Genomic DNA, 20,681 nt, shown 5'->3' with positions numbered 1-20,681 from the left:
TGTATTTTTAGTAGAGACAGGGTTCCACCATGGTGGCCAGACTGGTCTCAAACTCCTGATCTCAGGTGGCCTTCCCACCTCGACTTCCCAAAGTGCTGGGATTACAGGCATGAGCCACCACACCTGACATATATAAGCAATTTCTTAATCCTGTTCTGCATACAGCTAATGGAACACAGGAATAGAGCCTCAACTTTACATGTTCTCCATCTTTACTAAGGACCACAGTTTTCCCCAATAGAAATCTTGAGTATCCACATCTTTCCATGTTCAACAGCCAGAAAGGGAACATTTTTAATATTGCAAATCATGAATACTTGTTGAAAAATCTGCATGGCATATAAGAAGTTATTGTGTAGAGAAAGAAGAGAAGGCTCTGGGATACAGGAAAGAAACATTTTTCAGAGACCCTTGACTATCATAAGAATTTTAAGAAGTACTTAAACCAAACTACTTAGGAAGGAAAAACACAAGTAGAGAAATAAAAGTTTGCAAGTACTAAATGCATGGCATTCCAGGAGGCAGAGTGGACACAGCATTTCAGCTGAGGCATGTTTACCTGAAGAAAAGCCTTTTTTGTTTTTTCTATCTCCTACTTCTCTGGAATTCCTTCTCAGATGAGATTCTCTAAAAAAATTACCCCTGCATCTTGAGAATATGCCTTTAAAGGTGTCAGTGCCACATGTTTACCAGCTAGCGTAACATCAACCAGCAGAAAAAGACAGAAAAATCCACCCATTTCTGTCCTTTAAAACAGAAGAGATTCAGAAACAATGAGCTGCTCCATGAAGATGAAAATATAAGTTTCTCCTTTCCTGTCCTGAGGTGCCCTCCCCTGCCACAGACACCAGCAATTTCTGCTACAGTAATGGAAATATGCACCACACTGACCTGTCCCTACTAAACCCAAAGAGAACAGGCCCTGTGACCACCCTTTAGTCCAAAGGTGGAACTTAACTCTCATGAATGTATTTTGAAATCCTCATACCAGATTCTGGTCTCACCTCAGATTCACATGAGGCCCTTCATTAAAACAACATGGATGCTTCCACCCAGAACAATAAACAGAAGCTGTGGGGAGGGCACAAGAGATTTCTGCAAATTGGCCATTTGATCCTAATGAGAAGCCTGGGCTGATAATCCCTAAGCTAATTATTGCCTCTCAAGCTTTAAAGAGCCTATAAATCACTTGGTAATTTTGGCCCCACTTTATGTAATGTGATTCTGCAGGTTTGAAAAGCGTCCATGAATGGGTGTTTTAAACAATCCCCTATAAATGCTGGTGTTGCTCCCCATTGGTTCATTATTACCATTAGTTACAGAAGCAGGCACAGCACAGGGTCCCTTACACTCAGCACTCTTGTTGCAACCAAATACTTCTGGTACAAACAAGAACAATCCATCTCCATGTTAAAGTTTTATATTCTTTGCTGGCTCTTTAAAGTTTACAGAGGAAACAGAATGCAGCAATGTCTGAATAAGTCTGGATTTAAAAAACAACATGTACACATGTACTAATGCAATGTTTATTAAGCAGGTACTATGTGCTCAAGAGTGTGATACAGAGCACTGTGCTGGGCATAACACATTATGTGATTTAATTCTCATAACACCATGGGAGCTGGTACTAAGGGTTTAATAATTTCCAGGATTTAGATAAAGGGCCCAGCATTTTTATTTCTTCTTGTGTTTCTCTGTCATCAAATTTTTTAAAAAATTATAAAGAATAAAAGCTAAATATAGGCAGATGAAACAGATATAAAAAGAGGTTAATGTAGTTTAGACACGATTTTATTCTGTTTATATTTACTTTTTTGTGACTTATGGAGCAAGTACTGTATCTGCAGAAATAGAAAACAAGTTTCTAAATACAATGTCTCTGCAAGCACTGGTTTTAATAGAACATTTAAATAGTAGCACCCTAAAATATATACCTTATTTATCCCATTTATCAGCTTTTGGCTTTCAGGAAATTGTAAGCACCAGCTCTAGAAAGGCAACAGGATTCACCAGCCAAAACTCTGATCTCTTCTAATCAGTTATCTGAGGCAGGACTCCAAGGTAGGATCAGAACTAAATAAGTCCTCCAAAAAGGGTGAATCTGAACAGATCTGCGGCAAGGTGGCAACCCTACATAGAATTCTGGTGTCTATGCCACTGCAGTACTAGTAGTTTTGTTTTTTCTAAGCTTACCAAAAAAAAAAAAAAAAACTTAAATCCCAGAGTTTCTGTAATTTTAATATTTTCTAGCCACTGCCCTGTCAAATTTATACTACATACTAATACACAGTTTAAACAAATCCTTTAAGCTTTGCTAGGGTTTTTTATGGCTTTTTATTTTATTTTGAGATGGAGTCTCACTCTGTTGCACAGGCTGGAGTGCAGTGGTGCCATCTCGGCTCACTACAACCTCTGCCTCCAGGGTTCAAGTGATTCTTCTGCCTCAGCCTCCCAAGTAGCTGGAACTACAGGTGTGCACCAACACACACGGCAAATTTTTGTATTATTAGTAGAGACAGCATTTCACTATATTGGCCAGGCTGGTCTCGAACTCTTGACCTTGTGATCCACCTGCCTCAGTCCCACAAAGTGCGAGGATTACAGACATGAGCAACAATGCCCAGCCTTTCTTAGGTAATTTTATTAGAAAATAAATATGTACACTTAGTAAAGTAAAAGAAGTAGAAATTATATGGCCAGATGTGGTGGCTCACACTTGTAATCCTAGCACTTTGGAAGAATAACGTTGGTAGATCATGACATCAGGAGTTTGAGACCAGCCTGACCAAGATGGTAGGGCTTTATATTATGCCACTACACTCCAGCCTGGGCAACAGAGTGAGACTCTGTCTGAAAAAAAGAAAATACTGTTTTATTTATATGAATGCAGGTTGTCTACAAACACTACACATAATGATGCTAATTGTTCTGAAGTAATAAATTGAAAGCAAGGTACAACTACAGACTCCACTGTTCAGTTTATGCACTGAACTGTTCTTGTTTTTCCAGTATAAGTACTTCAGTCTGCAAATATTGGATAATTTCCTTGGATAATCAGGTTTCTGTCAAAAAAATTTAGTATCTTTTAGTGTTTATCATTCTGTATTGCTAAATTTAATTTTATCTTTGTGCTAAGCTTCTGTGTGCTCTTAAATTAGCTTTTATCTAAACAAATCTGTGTCTACTTTAAAGGACTAAAAATGAAAAAAATAAACTTTTCAGAAGCTAAAACAAAGCAATAAATCTGAAGTACCAGAAAAAGAAAATCTGGAGTCATAAAAAATAACAAAAGATTTATTTAGCTGTTAATATCGCTTGCATATATTTCAAAAAAGCAGAGAAAAATATCTGCATATAATCTGAATCCCTTAAAAGCAGAGAGAATAGCAAAATTTGTTTTCAAACTTTTTAAAGAGTTTTTGAACTCTTGGGCATCTGAATTTTGAACACTGTATGCACTTCAAAGAATGGTTATGGAGAAAAAGGAGAAGAGGCCGGGCGCGGTGGATCACGCCTGTAATCCCAGCACTTTGGGAGGCCGAGGTGGGTGGATCAAGAGGTCAGGAGATCGAGACTATCTTGGCTGACACGGTGAAACCCCGCCTCTACTAAAAATACAAAAAATTAGCCGGGCGCTGTGGCCTGTAGTCCCAGCTACTCGGGAGGCTGAGGCAGGAGAATGGCGTGAACCCGGGAAGCGGAGCTTGCAGTGAGCCGAGATCGCGCCACTGCACTCTGCCTAAGCGACAGAGCGAAACTCTGTCTCAAAAAAAAAAAAAAAAGAAGAGACAAAGATGTTATAAAAAAATCCATGAGTGCACAAGACCAATGCAACAGAATAGAGAGCACAGAAATAATGCCACCTTCCTACAACCATCAGATTTTTGACAAAGCTGACAAGAGGAATGTAGCAAGAATTCTCTATTTAATAAATGGTGCTGGAATAACTACCTAGCACTATGTAGAAGACTGAAACTAGATTCCTTCATTACACCATATACAAAAATCAACTCAAGATAAATTAAACACTTAAATGTAAACTTAAAATTATAAGAAACCCTGCATGATAACCTAAGAAACACTATTCTAGACACAGAAACCGGCAAAGACTTCATGATGAAGCTACTAAAAGCAATTGCAACAAAAGCAAAAATTGACAAATGGGACCTATTTAAACTAAAACCCTTCTTCACAGCAAAGGAAACCATCAACAGAGGAAAAAGACAACCTACAGAATAAAAGAAAATATTTGCAAGTTTTGCCTCTGACAAAGGTCTAATCTCCAGAATTTATTAGAAACTTAAATAAGTTTAAAAGAAAAACCTAAACAACCTCATTAAAAAGTAGGCAAAATACATGAACAGATGCTTTTCAAAAGAAGATACATATGTGGCTAACAAGCATATGGAAAAAAATGCTCATTGCTAATCATTAGAGAAAATTTTTTTTAAAAAAACCACAATGAGACACCACCTCACACCAGTCAGAATGGCTATTTTTAAAAAGTCAATAAATAACAGATGCTGGCAAGGTTGCAGAGAAAAGGGAATGCTTATACTCTGCTGGAGGGAGTGTAAATTAGTTCAACAACTGTAAAAAGCAGTGTGGTGATTCCTCACAGAACTAAAAACAGAATTATCATTTGACCCAGGAATCTTATAATTGGGTATATAACCAAAGAAATATAAATTATTATATTATAAAGACACATCCACATGCATGTTCACTGCAGCACTATTCACAATAGCAAAGATAAGGACAGGCCCTAAATGCCTATGAGTAGTAGATTGGATAAAGAAAATATGGTATGGTCAGATCTGGTGGCTCATGCCTGTAATCCCAGTACTTTGGGAGGCCAAGGCAGGTGGATTGCCAGAGCTTAGAAGTTTGAGACCAGCCTGGGCAACATGGCAAAATCCTGTGTCCACGGAAAATACAAAAAGAAAAATTGATCAGGCGCAGTGGCTCATGCCTGTCATCCCAGCACTTTGGGAGGCCAAGGCAGGCAGATCACGAGGTCAGGCGATCAAGACCATCCTCGCTAACACGGTGAAACCCCGTTTCTACTAAAAATACAAAAAATTAGCTGGGCGTGGTGGCGGGAGCCTGTAGTCCCAGCTACTCTGGAGGCTGAAGCAGGAGAATGTCATGAACCCGGGAGGCGGGGCTTGCAGTGAGCCGAGATCGCATCACTGCACTCCAACGGAGTGCAACAGAGTGAAACTCCACCTCAAAAAAAAAAAAAGAAAAATTGGCCAGACGTGGTAACGCACATGTGAACTCACAGCTACTTGTGAGGATGAGATAGGAGAGAATTGCTTGACCCTGAAGTAAGCCAATATCATGCCATGACACTGTAGCCTGGGCAATAAGCGAGACCCTACCTCAAAAAAGTAAAATAAAATAAAAGATTTAGTAAAAACAAAATATGGTACATAAACATCATGGAAAACTCTGTGTCTATTAAAAAACAAAACGATCATGTCCTTTCCAATAACATCAATGAAGCTAGAGACCATTATTCTCAGAAAACTAATTCAGAGGCTGGGAGCGGTGGCTCACACCTGTAATCCCAGCACTTTGGGAGGCCGAGGCGGGGTAATCACCTGAGGTTGGGAGTTTAAGACCAGCCTGACTAACATGGAAAAACCCTGTCTTTACTAAAAATACAAAATTAGCCAGGGGTAGTGGCATGCACCTGTAATCCCAGCAACTTAAGAGGCTGAGGCACGAGAATTGCTTGAACCTGGGAGGCTAAGGTTGCAGTAAGTCAAGATTGCACTATCGCACTCTAGCCCGGGTAACAAGAGCAAAACTCTGTCTCAAAAATCAAAACAAAACAAAAACATAAAAGAAAACTAATGCAGAAAGTGAAAACCAAATGCATGTTATTATTTATAAGTAAGAGTTAAGTAATAAGAACACAAAAACACAAAGAGGAGAACAACAGACACTGAGGCCTAGATGAGGGTAGACGGTGGGAGGACTAAGAGGATGAGAAAACAGACCTGTTTGGTGCTACGGGTAGTACCTCAGTGACAAAATAATCTGCACACCAAACCCCCATGACATAATTTTAGCTGTATATCCCACATGTGTACACAGAACCAAAAATAAAAGCTAAAAGAAAAAAACAAAATCCCTGCATGGGATAGAGTGCAATGTAGGTGAATGGACTGATTTTCACTGCAGCTAGTGGCCCAGGTGGGGCTGTACTCTGATTTATTTCTGTGTGAATGCAGGCAGATGAGATTATAAACAGGAGGTCCAGAACCTTAGGTTGGTGGAGAAAACAGGTTGCTGCTCAAGGCTCAATGTCTGGGAGTGAGGATATGACAGGAGACTTGTAGACACTTGTGAGTTCTTGGCAAGAAACATTTGGATCAAAAATGCCATGGTGAAGTTCCTGAGGGTGGTGCCTAGTCCTGGGAGGAGTGCGGACACATCAATGTCTAGTATGTATGTTTGTGAGTGAGTGGGAATCCTGTGGATGCAGTTGAAAGAAAAGGGGTCTGTCATCAGAGCTCCTTTCCTGTAAGTTTCAGTCCTCTGTCACCCTGGGAGAAGAGCTGGAATCACAGGACAACGGGCAGCGTGACAGCCTGTGTGCAGGAGAGCAGAGCCTCCCATTCCCAGACACTCAGAGTTTTGTTCCAGGCCAGGCCTCCATGATATGCTTTTTCTGGCACAAAATCTGTAGTTTGCTGAACATCAAACAATTCTTCAACACCAGCTCATTGTCTTACATTTGAATTCTGACACCACCCAGAGTCAGCACAGACCCTGATTCAGGGCTCAGTCCCACAACCTTGTCCTCACTGCAGATGCCAGTCACAAACCCCATGGGCCCATTTATACTTCTGACACACTGTTTGAAAACTGGAGACTCCCAAAACCTCCCTGAAGTTCAGTAATTTGGTAGAGCTACTCACAGAACTCAGAAAAACACTGTAGTTATGTTTACTGGTTTAATATATAGGATGCACCCCAGGAAAAGCCAAATGGAAGAAATGCATAGAACAAAGAAAATACATGGGGAAATATAAAATGGATAGATAATCCAGGAAAATATTTGTGATTGGTAAAATTCTCCATCCTTTGTGTACTCTAGGAACAGCTTATGGAAAGAAACACCCTTCCCATTATGAATTAGATGGTGCTGTTTTTACTTATCTATCACACAGCTAAAGGGGTGGCCAGCCCCTCCACACCTGTGGGTGTTTCTCGTTAGGTGGGACAAGAGACTGAGAAAAGAAAGAGACACAGAGACAAAGTATAGAGAAAGAAAAGTGGGCCCAGGGGACTGGCACTCAACATATGGAGGACCTGCGCCAGCACTGGTCTCTGACTTCCCTCAGTATTTATTGATCATTATCTCTATCATCTTGGAGAGGGGATGTGGCAGGACAATAGGGTAATGGTGGGGAGAGGGTCAGCAGGAAAACATGTGAACAAAGGTCTCTGTGTCATAAATAATTTTAAGGAAAGATGCTGTGCCTTGATGTGCACGTATATAAACATCTTGGTGCATTGAAGAGGAGTATTGCCGCTAGCACGTCTCACCTCCAGCCCTAAGGCGGTTTTCTCCTATCTCAGTAAATACAATATACCATTGGGTTTTACACCAAGACATTCCATTGCCCAGGGACAGATGCCTTCCTCTTATCTCAACTGCAAAGAGGCCTTCCTCTTTTACTAATCCTCCTCGGCACAGACCCTTTATGGGTGTCGGGCTGGGGGATGGTCAAGTCTTTCCCTTCCCACAAGGCCATATTTCAGACTATCACATGGGGAGAACCCTTGGACAATACCTGGCTTTCCTAGGCAGGGATCCCTGCGGGCTTCCGCAGTGTATTGTGTCCCTGGGTACTTCAGATTAGAGAATGGTGATGACTTTCAACAAGCATGCTGCCTTCAAGCACTTGTTTAACAAAGTAATCCTGCACAGCCCTAAATCCATTAAACCTTGAATCAACACAGCACTTGTCTCTGCAAGGACAGGGTTGAGGCTAGGGTTACAGATTAACAGCATCTCAAGGCAGAAGAATTTCTCTTAGTACAGAACAAAATGGAGTCTCTTATGTCTACTTCTTTCTACATAGACATAGTAACAGTCTCATCTCTCTTTCTTTTCCCCACACTTCCCCCTTTTATTTTTGACAAAACCACCATCGTTATCATGGCCCGTTCTTGATGGTCCCTGTCTCTTTGGAGCTGCTGGGTACACCTGCAGACTAACAACAGACAGAACAGGCACACAAGGATTAATATGAAATTTATAATAGTAGTACTTCTGATGGTCTTAACCCAAGTGACAGGGTTAAGATTTGAGAGGCAGTCAGCAACTCCCATGATTGCCTCAGTTCCCGGTACCAAATTTAAATGGGCTTTTGATGCTTCAAAAATTTGTTCTTTTAATTTGGAAATGTCTAAAGTGAGATTATCTTCTTTTCCTTGTAGATGGCGTCTAACCATGTCCCAGTGATGCTCAGACTCATTATAAACTCGGGGTGTAATACAAAAATCTGAAGTATTCCATTCACACTGTAACTGGAAATGATGTTCTAAGCTCATAAGCCTATCTCCCATCCAAATGACAGTTTGTCTAAAATCATTAATTTGATTTGCTAATTTTTGATCAATACCAGATTGTGAATTCCACAATCTTGTAGAATTCTTTTGCCACCCCATAATCACTGCAATTAAAGTAAAAATGAATCTTTTGGATCTATTTAAAATGTCTTTTAATACCTCAGTCAAAATACAGACGGATGGCGAGGCCACCCGCAGTCGGTCCATGGACACAGGGATCCACACACCTTCTCTTGCTCTCACTAGCAGAATACGGTGCTGCCAATTAAAAGTTGAATCAATGCTAGTAAACAATCTGCAATTTTCACAGGTTATAGTTTGGGGGTCTGGTTTAATAACTATATTTCCTACAACTAGCATATAAGGGGGCTTTACACAACTTTGTAAAGGAGCTGTTAGACTGGAATTTAGGTCGATAGTATAAAATGGCTTACGATCTCTTGTTTCTACAGTTTGATTTCCAGACCAAATTCTAATGTGGTATGAGGCTACAGTAAGCCTCTGTAATTCTGGATGTTCAGGACCAGAAACAGGACTTATTATTTTTGGTCTTGGAGTATGAAAGGCAATGGAAAGGCACCGTGGATCAATAAGGCCAAGAGGCAAGACAAAGAGGGCAAAAATCTTCTTTATTGAGCTCTCCGGTGAGGTTCACTGGTCCGCCAGGGGAAGTCACGCTGTGCGAAAGGTGCAGCGCGCTTTTATGGATGCTGGGTGAGGAGTGGTCGGGGTAGGGGCGGGATCGGTTGAGTTTCACACTTCTGAGTGTGACACGCCCTAGTGGGCATGTGCGTTAGTCGGGGTGGTGGGAACAGGAAAGGTGAACCCGGAAATGCTGAGTTAGGGTATCCGAGGTGGCGATTGCCATCTTGGAGTCTTCGCTGAAGTCCAATCAAAGTAGAGATTCCTTTTTCTCCCCATTCCCAAGTGTAGAAAGACTGTAATTTTTTATGCTTATGTTCGTCTAAACTTCCTGTTAAGTCACTATCAACAGCTGGACTCACTTGTGCACTGGGACATGATTGAGTTTGTCCTGTGCAATTGTGTTAGAATTGACCTTGAGTTGCCCAATCTATAATAGTTCTGAATTCATCATTTTGTAATATCACTGCACTCTTGGCCACACATTCTTCCCAAACTAAAACTTCTATGTCTTTTGATCCTTTGGGAATTTCCTTGGGGCAATGTTTCCCTTTAGGCCTAAATTTTAATGACCTTTGATAAGAAAAGTCCTGTAAATAATTTACCCATGGCCTGAGTGACATTCCCCTTACCATGTGATAAGTGAATCTACTGATGGTACTGACAGTAGGTACTTGTACCAACCAATTTTGGATTGCAGGCATTAAACATCCTAGTGCTCTCCCTAGGCAAATAGGAGGATAACGATATCCAGTGGAGATATTTATCATCATTCCTTCTTCCTTGGGTTTGGCAGGGCAACGATCATCTGTAGGGCCATGTACCCATACACCATTATTAACATATACTTCAATAGGATTATCCATCCAGGTGACTGCCTGAATTAAGGGCGGGAAAAGCACACAGGCCCAGTAGGTATAATTAGCCACAGCTGCTCCTGCAGGAATGGGGAGACTTACCACCATTGATACAATCATCAAAGCTGCAAGCAGCATACCCTTTGGAGTTTGTGTCACCTTTGTGTTCTCCAGGCTTTTTTTTAGCTAACGGTGTCACCTTCTTTAATTGTGCCCAAGTCGGCGGCTCTGTCTTCTTGGTGGATGGCAACTTCATCTGTTCTTCTGACATGACCTTTTTCTTCATCTTATGAGTCAATGGTGTTCAATTGCGGTGTTTCCGTCTCCGTGGAGGTGCTTTCCTTTGCATCTCCGATGGGTTCATTGTAGAATCAAATGTCTAGTGGGTATCCAAACAGGAAGCTGATTTTCTCCTGGTGAAACACAAGCAAAACCTCTCCCCCACGTTACCACCTTCCCTATTTCCCATGTCTTATTTTTGTTGTCTTTCCATCAAATCAGTTTTCCTTCATGTGGGCTATTCTTTTTACCAGTAAGATGTTGTTCTGCAGAAGTAGTAGTCTGATTTCTATAAATGTTTAAAAAATTTGAAGTATAGAATGCTAGATTAAGTTGCATCTGAGGAGTGGTACACTCCTTACTGTCTCCCCCTTCTTTTTGTTTAACCAATTGAGTTTTGAGTGTTCTATTTCTTCTTTCAACTATGGCCTATCCTTGGGAATTATAGGGAATTCCTGTTGTATGTATAATTTTCCACTGATTTAAGAATTTTTGGAAAGCTTAAAAACAGTATTCTGGCCCACTGTCAGTTTTAATTTTTTTTTTTTTTTTTTTTTTTGGAATTCCCATTACAGCAAAACAAGATAATAATTTTTTTTTTTTTTTTTTTGAGACGGAGTTTCACTCTTGTTGCCCAGGCTGGAGTGCAATGGCACGATCTCGGCTCACCGCAACCTCTGCCTCCCAGGTTCAAGCAATTCTCCTGCCTCAGCCTCCCAAGTAGCTGGGATTACAGGCATGTACCACCACACCTGGCTAATTTTGTATTTTTAGTACAGACAGAGTTTCTCCATGTTGAGGCTGGTCTCGAACTCCTGACCTCAGGTGATTCACCCGCCTTGGCCTTCGAAAGTACTGGGATTACAGGCATGAGCCACCGCGCCTGGCAATAAATGTTTTTTAACATGGGAAGTACTGTTTCCTGTCTGGCAGGTTGCCCTTATGAAATGTGAATAAGTATCAACCGTTACATGAACACATGATAATCTTCCAAATGAAGGTACATGTGTGACATCCATTTGCCATAACGCATTAGGACAGAGACCTCTGGGATTAACTCCTGCCTCTTGAGTGGGCAGGTGTAGGACTTGACACTGGGTGCAATGTCATACAGTATTTTTTGCCTGTTTCCATGTGACATCAAATTTGTTTTTTAATCCTGCTGTATTTACATGAGTCAAAGCACAAAGTGCTTGTGCTTTTATGAATGCAGATGATACTAGGAAGTCAGCTTGTTCATTTGCTTTAGTTAAAGGCCCTGGTAAATTAGTGTGTGCTCAAATATGAGTAATATAAATGGGAAATTTCTTTTTCTTACAGTTTGTTGTAATAAATTGAACAGCTGGTTTAACTGATCATCCAGGCTATATTTAATTAGAGCTATCTCAACACCCCTTGTAGCCTGTACTACATATGCAGAATCTGATACAATATTAATAGGTTGATTAAAATCTTGTAACACTATAATGACTACAACCAACTCAGCTCTTTGAGCCGATTGATACTGAGTTTTGATTACTCACTCTTTTGGCCCTGTGTAAGCTGCCTTTCCATTGCTGGAACCATCAGCAAACACTGTCAGAGCATTTTCTAAAGGTTTATGTCTGGTAATTTTAGGTAAAATCCAAGTAGTCAGTTTTAAAAACTGGAAGATTTTTGTTTTTGTGTAATGATGATCAATAATTCCAACAAAATCAGCAAGACCAATCTGCCATGCACCAGAATTGATAAAGGCTTGTCTAACTTGTTCCTTGTTTAAAGGGACAACCATTTTGTCTGGGTATTTCCACACAATTTTATTATTTGTAATCTTGCCTGACCAATTAATGTAGCTATTTGATCCAAGTACAATGTAAAAGTCTTAATTGTACTGTGGGGAAGGAATGACCCCTCCACAAGATCAGTATTTTGAACAATGATGCCTGTTGGAGAATGTGCAGTAGCAAAAATCAAAAGCTGGAGTGGGGCTAAGGGATCTATTCTATTTATTTGTGCAACTGAACTTTTTCTTTCACTAATTTAATTTCTTTTGTTGCCTCTGGGGTTAATATTCTTTTACTGTTTAAGTCTGGGTCTCCTCTTAAGATAGAAAACAAATTTGACATGCCATAAGTAGGAATGCCTAGAGTTGGCCAAATCCAATTAATATCTCCTAGCAATTTTTGAAAGTCATTTAATGTTTTTAATGTGTCTTTTCTTATTTCTATTTCTTGTGGCTTAATTTTTCTATTTTCTATCTGCATCCCTAAATAATGAAAAGGAGTAGAGGTTTGAATCTTATCAGATGTTATTGTCAGTCCTGTGTTGGCAACCTCTGCTTGCAGAAATGTATAACAATAAATTAATCTGTCTCTCGTTTCTACAGCACATAAAATATCATCAACATAATGAATGATATAACAGTCTGAAAACTTGTCTCTAACTGGTTGAAGAGTTTGACCTATGAAATTCTGACAAATAGTTGGACTATTAAGCATTCCCTGAGGTAACACTTTCCACTGCAACCTGGTGGCTAGTTCTTTACTATTTATGGCTGGTATAGTAAAGGCAAATTTTTCACAATCCTGCTCTGCCAGAGGAATGGTAAAAAAGCGATCTTTCAGATCAATTATAATTAAAGGCCAGTCTTTTGGGATCATGGCCGGAGAGGGCAATGCAGGTTGGAGAGGCCCCATGGGTTGAATTATGGCATTTATGGCTCTTAAGTCAGTTAACATATGCCATCTGCCAGATTTTTTCTGAATTACAAACACAGGAGAATTCCAAGGAGAGAATGAAGGCTCAGTATGTCCCTTTTCTAATTGTTCCTTTGCTAATAAATGCAAAGCCTCCAGTTTTTGTTTTGGTAGTGGCCACTGATTTACTCATACCAGTTTTTCTGTTTTCCAAGTTAATGGAATGGGTTTAGGAGGTTCTACAGTGGCCACCCCTAAGAAGGATACCCTATTCCTTTTCTTTCTTGATTTCTCTCAGTCTCAATTGGGACTTTCATGCCATTTTCATTTTTTCCTAGTCCCTCTCCTGGTACATATCCCATCTTAGTCATGATTTTTTGATTCATGGGGCTGTATAATGGAGTGGGCATAGTGATTTCTGCATCCCAGTGTTGTAATAAATCTCAACCCCACAGATTAACAGGAACCGAAGTAATCATTGGCTGAACAGTACGTTCTTGATTATCTGACCCTAAACAATGTAAAATCATAGTACTTTGATACACTTCTGAGGCTGTGCCTACGCCGATGAGTCCTGTAACAGTCTTTTGTTTAGGCCAATTTTTTGGCCACTGATTTAAAGCAATGATAGAGACATCTGCTCCAGTGTCTACTAACCCTTCAAACTATTTTCTTTGAATAATGGCCTTACACACCGGTCCGCTCTCTGAGACCTGACTTGCCCAATATGCAGCCTTTCCTGTTGGATCAGTGCTTCCCAACCCTCTTGTTCTTTTTATCTCACTATTTCCAACCTTAATATAAGGCAGGAGTAATAATTGAGCAATTCTGTCTCCTGGACTGGCACTCCAAGGAATTGAAGGGCTAATAACCAATTGAATTTCGCCTTGGTAGTCTGAATCAACCACACCAGTATGAATTTGAACTCCCTTTAGATTTAGACTTGATCTTCCTAAGATTAGTCCTACAGTCCCCTCAGGCAGTGGGCCATATACCCCTGTGGGGATTTTTTTGTGGGGGCTCCCCTGGAAGCAGAGAGACTGCTTGTATGGTACATAAATCTACTGCTGCACTGCCACTTGTGGTGGGGAACAATTGTTGTATTGTGGTAACTGGCTCATTCCCTGAGGCACTTGTGACAGTGGGCATTGTTGACCCTGAAAACCCTGAGGAACAAAGGGCTGAACTGGGAACGCCCCGTTTTTTGCGGGGCCTGAGGCTGGCCCCTCTTCTCATTTCCCGACAATGGTTGCCCATTTTTATCAACTTTAGAATGACATTGATTAGCCCAATGTTTTCCTTTTTTACATCTTGGACATAGGCCAGGTGGCTCTTTATCTGTTGTTGTAGTAGCTTGAGTTGTTATATTTTGTTTATTTGAGACTGGGCAATTCTTTCTTACATGACCAATTTGACCACAATTATAATATTTCCCCCAAATATTGTCCTCCTAAAGCAACTCCCATTACTGCTTGAGCCATAAGCATAGCTTTATGCATAGCTCCTCCAATTCCATCACAGGATTTTACATACTCTGAGATTACATCTGATCCTGCTGGGACTTTTCCTTTTAATGGCTTAATGGCTGATTGACACTCAGGATTGGTGTTTTCATATGCCATCAACTCCACTATGACCTTATGGGCATTTTCACCGGTAATTGACTTTTGAGCAGCATCTTGGAGCCTTGCCACAAAATCAGGGTAGGGCTCTTTAGAGCCTTGTCTTATAGTACTGAATGAGGGGCAAGTGGTTCCTGGGTCTTGGATTTTTTTCCCAGGCCCTAAGGCAGATAGCTCTAACTTGCTCAATGGCCTCATTTTGCATTATTGCTTGTTGATTAGTAGTGCTCCAATTTTGACCTGTTCCTAATAGTTGATCTGCATTTATGTTAACTGGAGGATTGGCAGCCCTATTTTTTTGGACCTGTTCTTGTACCCCATCAATCCACAAAGTCTTAAATTGTAAAAGATAGAGGGTGAGAGTGATGATTTGGCCAAAATCTCCCAATCAAAAGGAATGAGTCTATGTCCATGAGCAATGGAATTTAATAATGTCCTCAAATAAGGGGAGTTGAGTCCATACTTTTTACTCCCTCTTTCACATCTTTTAGCATTTTTATAGAAAAGGACTCATATCTGGCCTCAGCTAGGGGAGGCTCTCCCTCTTGGGCCCCTTCTTCAGGTGGTATCGGCTCTAATATTACTGGGAACTGCCACGCCTCGATATCTCCTTGTTTTCTTGCTTTAATAATTTTATGTAATGCACCACCCTGTCTACTAGGTGGTGATGTAGGATTAAGTCTCATAGTGGGAGGCTGCGGATATAGTGCCCTGCCCTGTGGTGCTGGAAACATTCCTGGCTGTCCATGCTGATTTTCTAGGGGCGGCCAATACTGAAGTTCGGCTGGCGGCCAGTATTGATAGGCTACTGGCAGTTGGGTCTTATTTTCTACCAGCTGATATTGTGGATACTGTATTTGGATTGGCATTGCTGTGACAGATACTCTATCTTTCTCTATTTGTTATTCTCTTCAGGTTTGTACTTGTCTAACCTGCATTTGAGGTTGTAATGTTACAGGCATCTGAACTGCTGGAAGAGGAGTTGGCCATCATGGTTTAGACTCTGATGGCCCCACTAATTCTGGACCTTTTTCTTCTAATTCTAATGTTTCAGGATATATTACCTCCTGTAATTGACTGTAGTCAACATTTTGCATTGACTGAGTCATTACAGACTCTGCTACATATTTACAATGTGAACTTTCCGTTCCTTTCTAGGATTCTATCCCTGCCTCTTCTTCACAATCTATTACACAGCTTTCAGGGGCATCAGAAACTGAAACTATCTTCTCCTGTTTGAAACAGTTCTAAAGCTGCTTTAATAAGGGCCCAATCATTCCATACTGTAAGTGGGATGATTTTACCCTCCCTACTTGCTTGTTTAATTCTTTGCCAATTTTTTCCCAATCTTTTAGATCTAAAGTTCCCTGTTCTGGAAACCATGGGCAGAATTGTTCTATTGTTTGAAGTAGCGTGATTAGATTTTCTGTAGAGACTCTAACTCCCCCTCTTCTTAAAAGAATTTTAATAAAGCTAAGAGGCATATTTACTTTCAGTTTATCCCATTGTTACCCTAGGTTCTTCTGAGCGCACAAGCTTACCGCAAGGCTGACCATAGATGTACTCGGGAATCTCTCATCAACTTGTCCTCAATGACCACGCTCTGGCATACCTTCAACCTAAAGAAAAGCACCCACATTGGGCACCAGATGAAGGGGTGTCCTGCCCCTCCAAACCTGTGGGTGTTTCTCATCAAGTGGGATGAGAGACTGAGAAAAGAAATAAGACACAGAGACAAAGTATAGAGAAAGAACAGTGGGCCCAGGGGACCGGCACTCAACATACAGAGGACCCGCGCTGGCACTGGTCTCTGAGTTCCCTCAGTATTTATTGATCACTATCTCTACCATCTCAGAGAGGGGGATGTGGCAGGACTATAGGGTAATGGTGGGAAGAGGGTCAGCAGGAAAACACGTGAGAAAAGATCTCTGTGTCATAAATAAGTTAAGGAAAGACACTGTGCGTTGATGTGCACGTAGGCCAGATTTATGTTTGACTTTACACAAACATCTCAGTGCATTAAGGAGCAGTACTGCCGCCAGCACATCTCACCTCCAGCCATAAGGCAGTTTTCTCCTATCTCAGTAAATAGAATGTGTGATCAGGTTTTACACCAAGACATTCCATTCCCAGGGACAAGCAGGAGACAGATGCCTTCCTCTTGTCTCAACTGCAAAGAGGCCTTCCTCTTTTACTAATCCTCCTCAGCACAGACCCTTTATGGGGGTCAGGCTGGGGGATGGTCAGGTCTTTCCCTTCCCATGAGGCAATAACTCAGGCTATTATATGAGGAGAAACCTTGGACAATACCTGACTTTCCTAGGCAGAGATCCCTGCCAACTTCCATAGTGTATTGTGTCCCTGGGTACTCGAGATTAGAGAATGGTGATGACTTTTAACAAGCATACTGCCTTTAAGCACTTTTTTAACAAAGCTCATCCTGCATAGCCCTAAATCCATTAAACCTTGAGTCAACACAGCACATGTCTCAGGAAGCATAGGGTTGGGGCTAGGGTTACAGATTAACAGCATCTCAAGGCAGAAGAATTTCTCTTAGTACAGAACAAAATGGAGTCTCATGTCTACTTCTTTCTACATAGACACAGTAGCAGTCTGATCTCTCTTTTCCCCACACCCCTCCCCCGGGATCTTGGCAGGCTTAAGCAGATTCTAGGAGAGAGGCTGTTGAGAATTGCTCACCTCCAGGGTTCAGATCTCAGGCTCCAGTGGCAAGGGTTCACAAGTGGAATCTTCTGAACTGTGGGTTGCACAGTTCCATGGAAAAAGCAGTTTCCCAGGCTGGGTAGCCCGCTCAGTCACAGCCTCCCTTGGCAGGAAAATGGCTGTGGCAGGACCCAGGCCTCCCCATAGTCAGCTCCACAATCTGCTTTCCGAGTTCTCCTTGCCCAGCTCAGCCTCAGTACCCTTCAGCCATAAGATGGCCGCTATGCTGACAGCTGGGCTCCCGGCCGTCCTTTCTCTTCCCTGCTCAGTGACTGTGCCCTGGCCTGGAGCCCTCTCCAGGTGACTCTGCACCCGCAGTGTGGCATCTCTCCCAGATTGTGTGGGGACTAGGGGAGGCTGAGGGGGGCAGATCACTTGAGGTCAGGAGTTGAAGACCAGCTTGGACAAAATGGGGAAACCCCATCTCTCCTAAAAATACAAAAATTAGCTGGGTGTGATGGCGAATGTCTGTAGTCCTAGGTACTCGGGAGGCAGAGAAAAGAGAATGGCTTGAACCTGGGAGGCCGAGGTTGTTGTCAGCTGAGATCATGCCACTGCACTCCAGCCTGGGCGACAGAGCAAGAGTCTGTCTTAAAAAAAAAATTTTGGGAGTCACTGTAAAAATATCAAATAATTTTTTTTTTTTGAGACGGAGTCTCGCTCTGTCACCCAGGCTGGAGTGCAGTGGCGCAATCTCGGCTCACTGCAAGCTCCATCTCCTGGGTTCACACCATTCTCCTGCCTCAGCCTCCTGAATAGCTGGGACTACAGGCTCCTGCCACCGTGCCTGGCTAATTTTTTGTATTTTTAGTAGAGAGGCAGTTTCACCGTGTTAGCCAGGATGGTCTCGATCTCCTGACCTTGTGATCTGCCCGCCTCAGCCTCCCAAAGGGCTGGGATTACAGGCTTGAGCCACCGTGCCCAGCCTCAAAAAGAGAGATTCAAGAATTGTAGACCAGCTAGCTATAGTTTGTAGTTTGTTCTCCGTGGGAGGGTCTTGAAGAAAAGACATTTATAAGGTGCATGAAGAAGAAAACCAAATTCAATAATTGGTTAGATGCAGTTACGTAGTTTCTTAATTGGTACAATCAAGGTGGAAATTCCCTGGTTATTTAATCAGAGTTTAAGTGGTAGTTTATAGTTGTTTAAGCTTGAATTTTGTTCCCCTAATGTAGTAATTTACCAAAAAATGCACTTGAGTTTAGATTTTTTTTTTTTTAGAAGTAGGAATCTGGGTACTAGAGCATCCTCAGTCTAATTGCCTGCCACTTAATTATTTTCACATCCCACAGGGGACTGATTTTTCCTGGCATTTTTCACATGTGCCCCAAGCAGCGCCTCAAGTGTACCCCATGTTCCTCAATTAATCATTTTATACAAAGCATGGCATAACAGTATTGAAGAGATTTTTTTCTGTTTGTAAATATTTTCCCTGAGAAGAAAGCAAAGAATAATCCCCTGACACTGTATTGTAAAAATATCTGTCCCTCTTTTGCTTTTTTTTTTCCAGAGAACTTACCAGAATGTTTTTAGGTTAAGATTACCCTTTGGAAACTTCATAGGGTGATGTGTCCTCAGCTATCCTTCAGTTTTTTTTTTCTGGGCCTGGGTTTTAGTACTTTCTGGGGATAAACCAAGATACCCACTATGGCTATGGCTATGTGTCTAGTGACTATTGTCTCTTGGGTCATTTTCTCCCATAGAACCACCTGAAGTATGGAGTGTAGCCTCTCAAGGGAGCAGGTGGCAGCCTTGGAGGTGAAAGGCATCTCCTGGTGCATGTTTGTTTTTATTTTTCTTTTTCTTTTTTTAAAGCTAACCCCTTGAGACATGAAGATTTTCTTCACCCAACCTAGCTTCCATTTTTTGGATACACATTGCTGGTCAGCCAATCAAATGCTGGTATTGAGGGCAAAACAAATAATTTCTGCCCCCTGGATTTTCTTGAGTGGGGGCAGAAAAACAGTGAAATAAAAACAGTGAAAATTTTGTAATAAAAATAAAAAATTCCAAAAGACAAAAAAACTGACCCCAGTGAGATGGCATAAAAACAAAGTAAAATGCACCTGGGGCACTCACTGGGGCATAGAGCAGTGTCTCCTGGGAGGGTGGTTATTGAGCATGTAAGTGAACAGGATGGGTTGGATGATTGGGTCTGTACATTGAAAAGATTTCTTTACTTATTTTGACCTCAGGTTTTTTCGTTTTTTCGGGTTTTTTTTTTTTTTTTTTTTTTTTTTGACGGTTTCACTCTGTTACACAGGCTGCAATGCAGTGGCTTGATCTCGGCTCACTGCAACCTCCCCCTCCTGGGTTCAAGTGATTCTCATTCCTTGGCCTCCCAAGTAGCTAGGTGCACAACACTTTGCCTGGCTAGTTTTTGTGTTTTTAGTAGAGAGGGACCAGGCTGCTCCAAAACTTCTGGTGTGAAGTGATCTCCCTGCCTTGGCCCCCAAAGTGTTGTGATTACAGGCATGAGCCACTGCACTGAGCTGTATCAGTATTTTTTACTGTGATTTGCATTTTATTAGTAGGGGCTGAAAAATAAGAAAATATTTACAAAAGACATAATAGAGATGAGTTTCAAAAATTAGTATTTAATCATATATTCTATTAGTTAATAATTCTTATTTACCTTTTTCTTTCCCAGAGTAACCTTAGGAATATTTTCAGGTGTTTTTCTGTTTGATTGTTTGTTTTTGTTTGAGATGGAGTCTAGCTCTGTCAACCAGGCTGAAGTGCAGTGGTGTTGGTAGAAGAGCTGAGGCAGGACTGGCTTGTCTGTCATAATATAAAAGAGTCTTGGAAGATGTCCTGGGTCCAGGGTCTAAAATCCCTCATGGCCTTTGGAACATCAAACTCTGTGCCAAATGGTGGAAGGCTGCCCTGACAAAACACAAATCTGAGCCCAGGGCATAAAACCCCTCACGGCTTGGATGGAATCCAAGGCTCAGGGCATAAAACCCCTCGTGGCCTCTAGAATGTGCACAGACTTGTTGGTTGCTCTCCCAGGCTCATAAATATGTTCTCCATTATCTCAAGCAGCAGAGCATACTCTTTATGTGTCAAAGAAAATGCTAAACCGTCACAGCTACACTTGATGCACTGTTACCTTTCTACCCTCACGTCCTTATGTCCTCACCTGTTTACCCCCACATCCACACATCCTCACCACCTGCTTCTTTGTTTGATCACCAATAAATAGTGTGGGCTTCCAAAGCTTGGGGCCCTCACAGTTTCCATACTAGCTTTGGCCCTCTGGACCCACCTTATGTACTCTTAACCTGTCT

General features: G+C 41.5%; 1 long non-coding RNA gene across 1 annotated transcript, besides 2 other annotated features; it reads right to left on the bottom strand.

Moving 5' to 3' along the window:
- Positions 5,162–6,148: an enhancer, noted in NCBI's record as "H3K27ac-H3K4me1 hESC enhancer chr19:20398553-20399539 (GRCh37/hg19 assembly coordinates)". NCBI's record gives its function as "activates a minimal SCP1, AML or CMV promoter by ChIP-STARR-seq in primed H9 embryonic stem cells {active_cell/tissue: H9 hESC(primed)}" and the evidence as "EXISTENCE:reporter gene assay evidence [ECO:0000049][PMID:30033119]".
- Positions 7,511–8,086: an enhancer, noted in NCBI's record as "NANOG-H3K27ac hESC enhancer chr19:20396615-20397190 (GRCh37/hg19 assembly coordinates)". NCBI's record gives its function as "activates a minimal SCP1, AML or CMV promoter by ChIP-STARR-seq in primed H9 embryonic stem cells {active_cell/tissue: H9 hESC(primed)}" and the evidence as "EXISTENCE:reporter gene assay evidence [ECO:0000049][PMID:30033119]".
- On the bottom strand, positions 9,137–17,715 carry LOC105372314 (uncharacterized). The gene is made up of 3 exons (XR_936407.3): positions 17,368–17,715; positions 16,209–16,286; positions 9,137–10,470 (listed from the first exon to the last, which is right to left on the bottom strand). It is a non-coding gene; the product is annotated as an uncharacterized LOC105372314 (long non-coding RNA).
- Positions 17,716–20,681: the final 2,966 nt, after the last annotated feature.

This window comes from Homo sapiens, chromosome 19 (genome assembly GCF_000001405.40).
Source record: "Homo sapiens chromosome 19, GRCh38.p14 Primary Assembly".
NCBI lineage: Eukaryota > Metazoa > Chordata > Mammalia > Primates > Hominidae > Homo > Homo sapiens.
The sequence above is the reverse complement of the archived record's forward strand: the minus strand, read 5'-3'. Positions and strand labels throughout refer to the sequence as shown.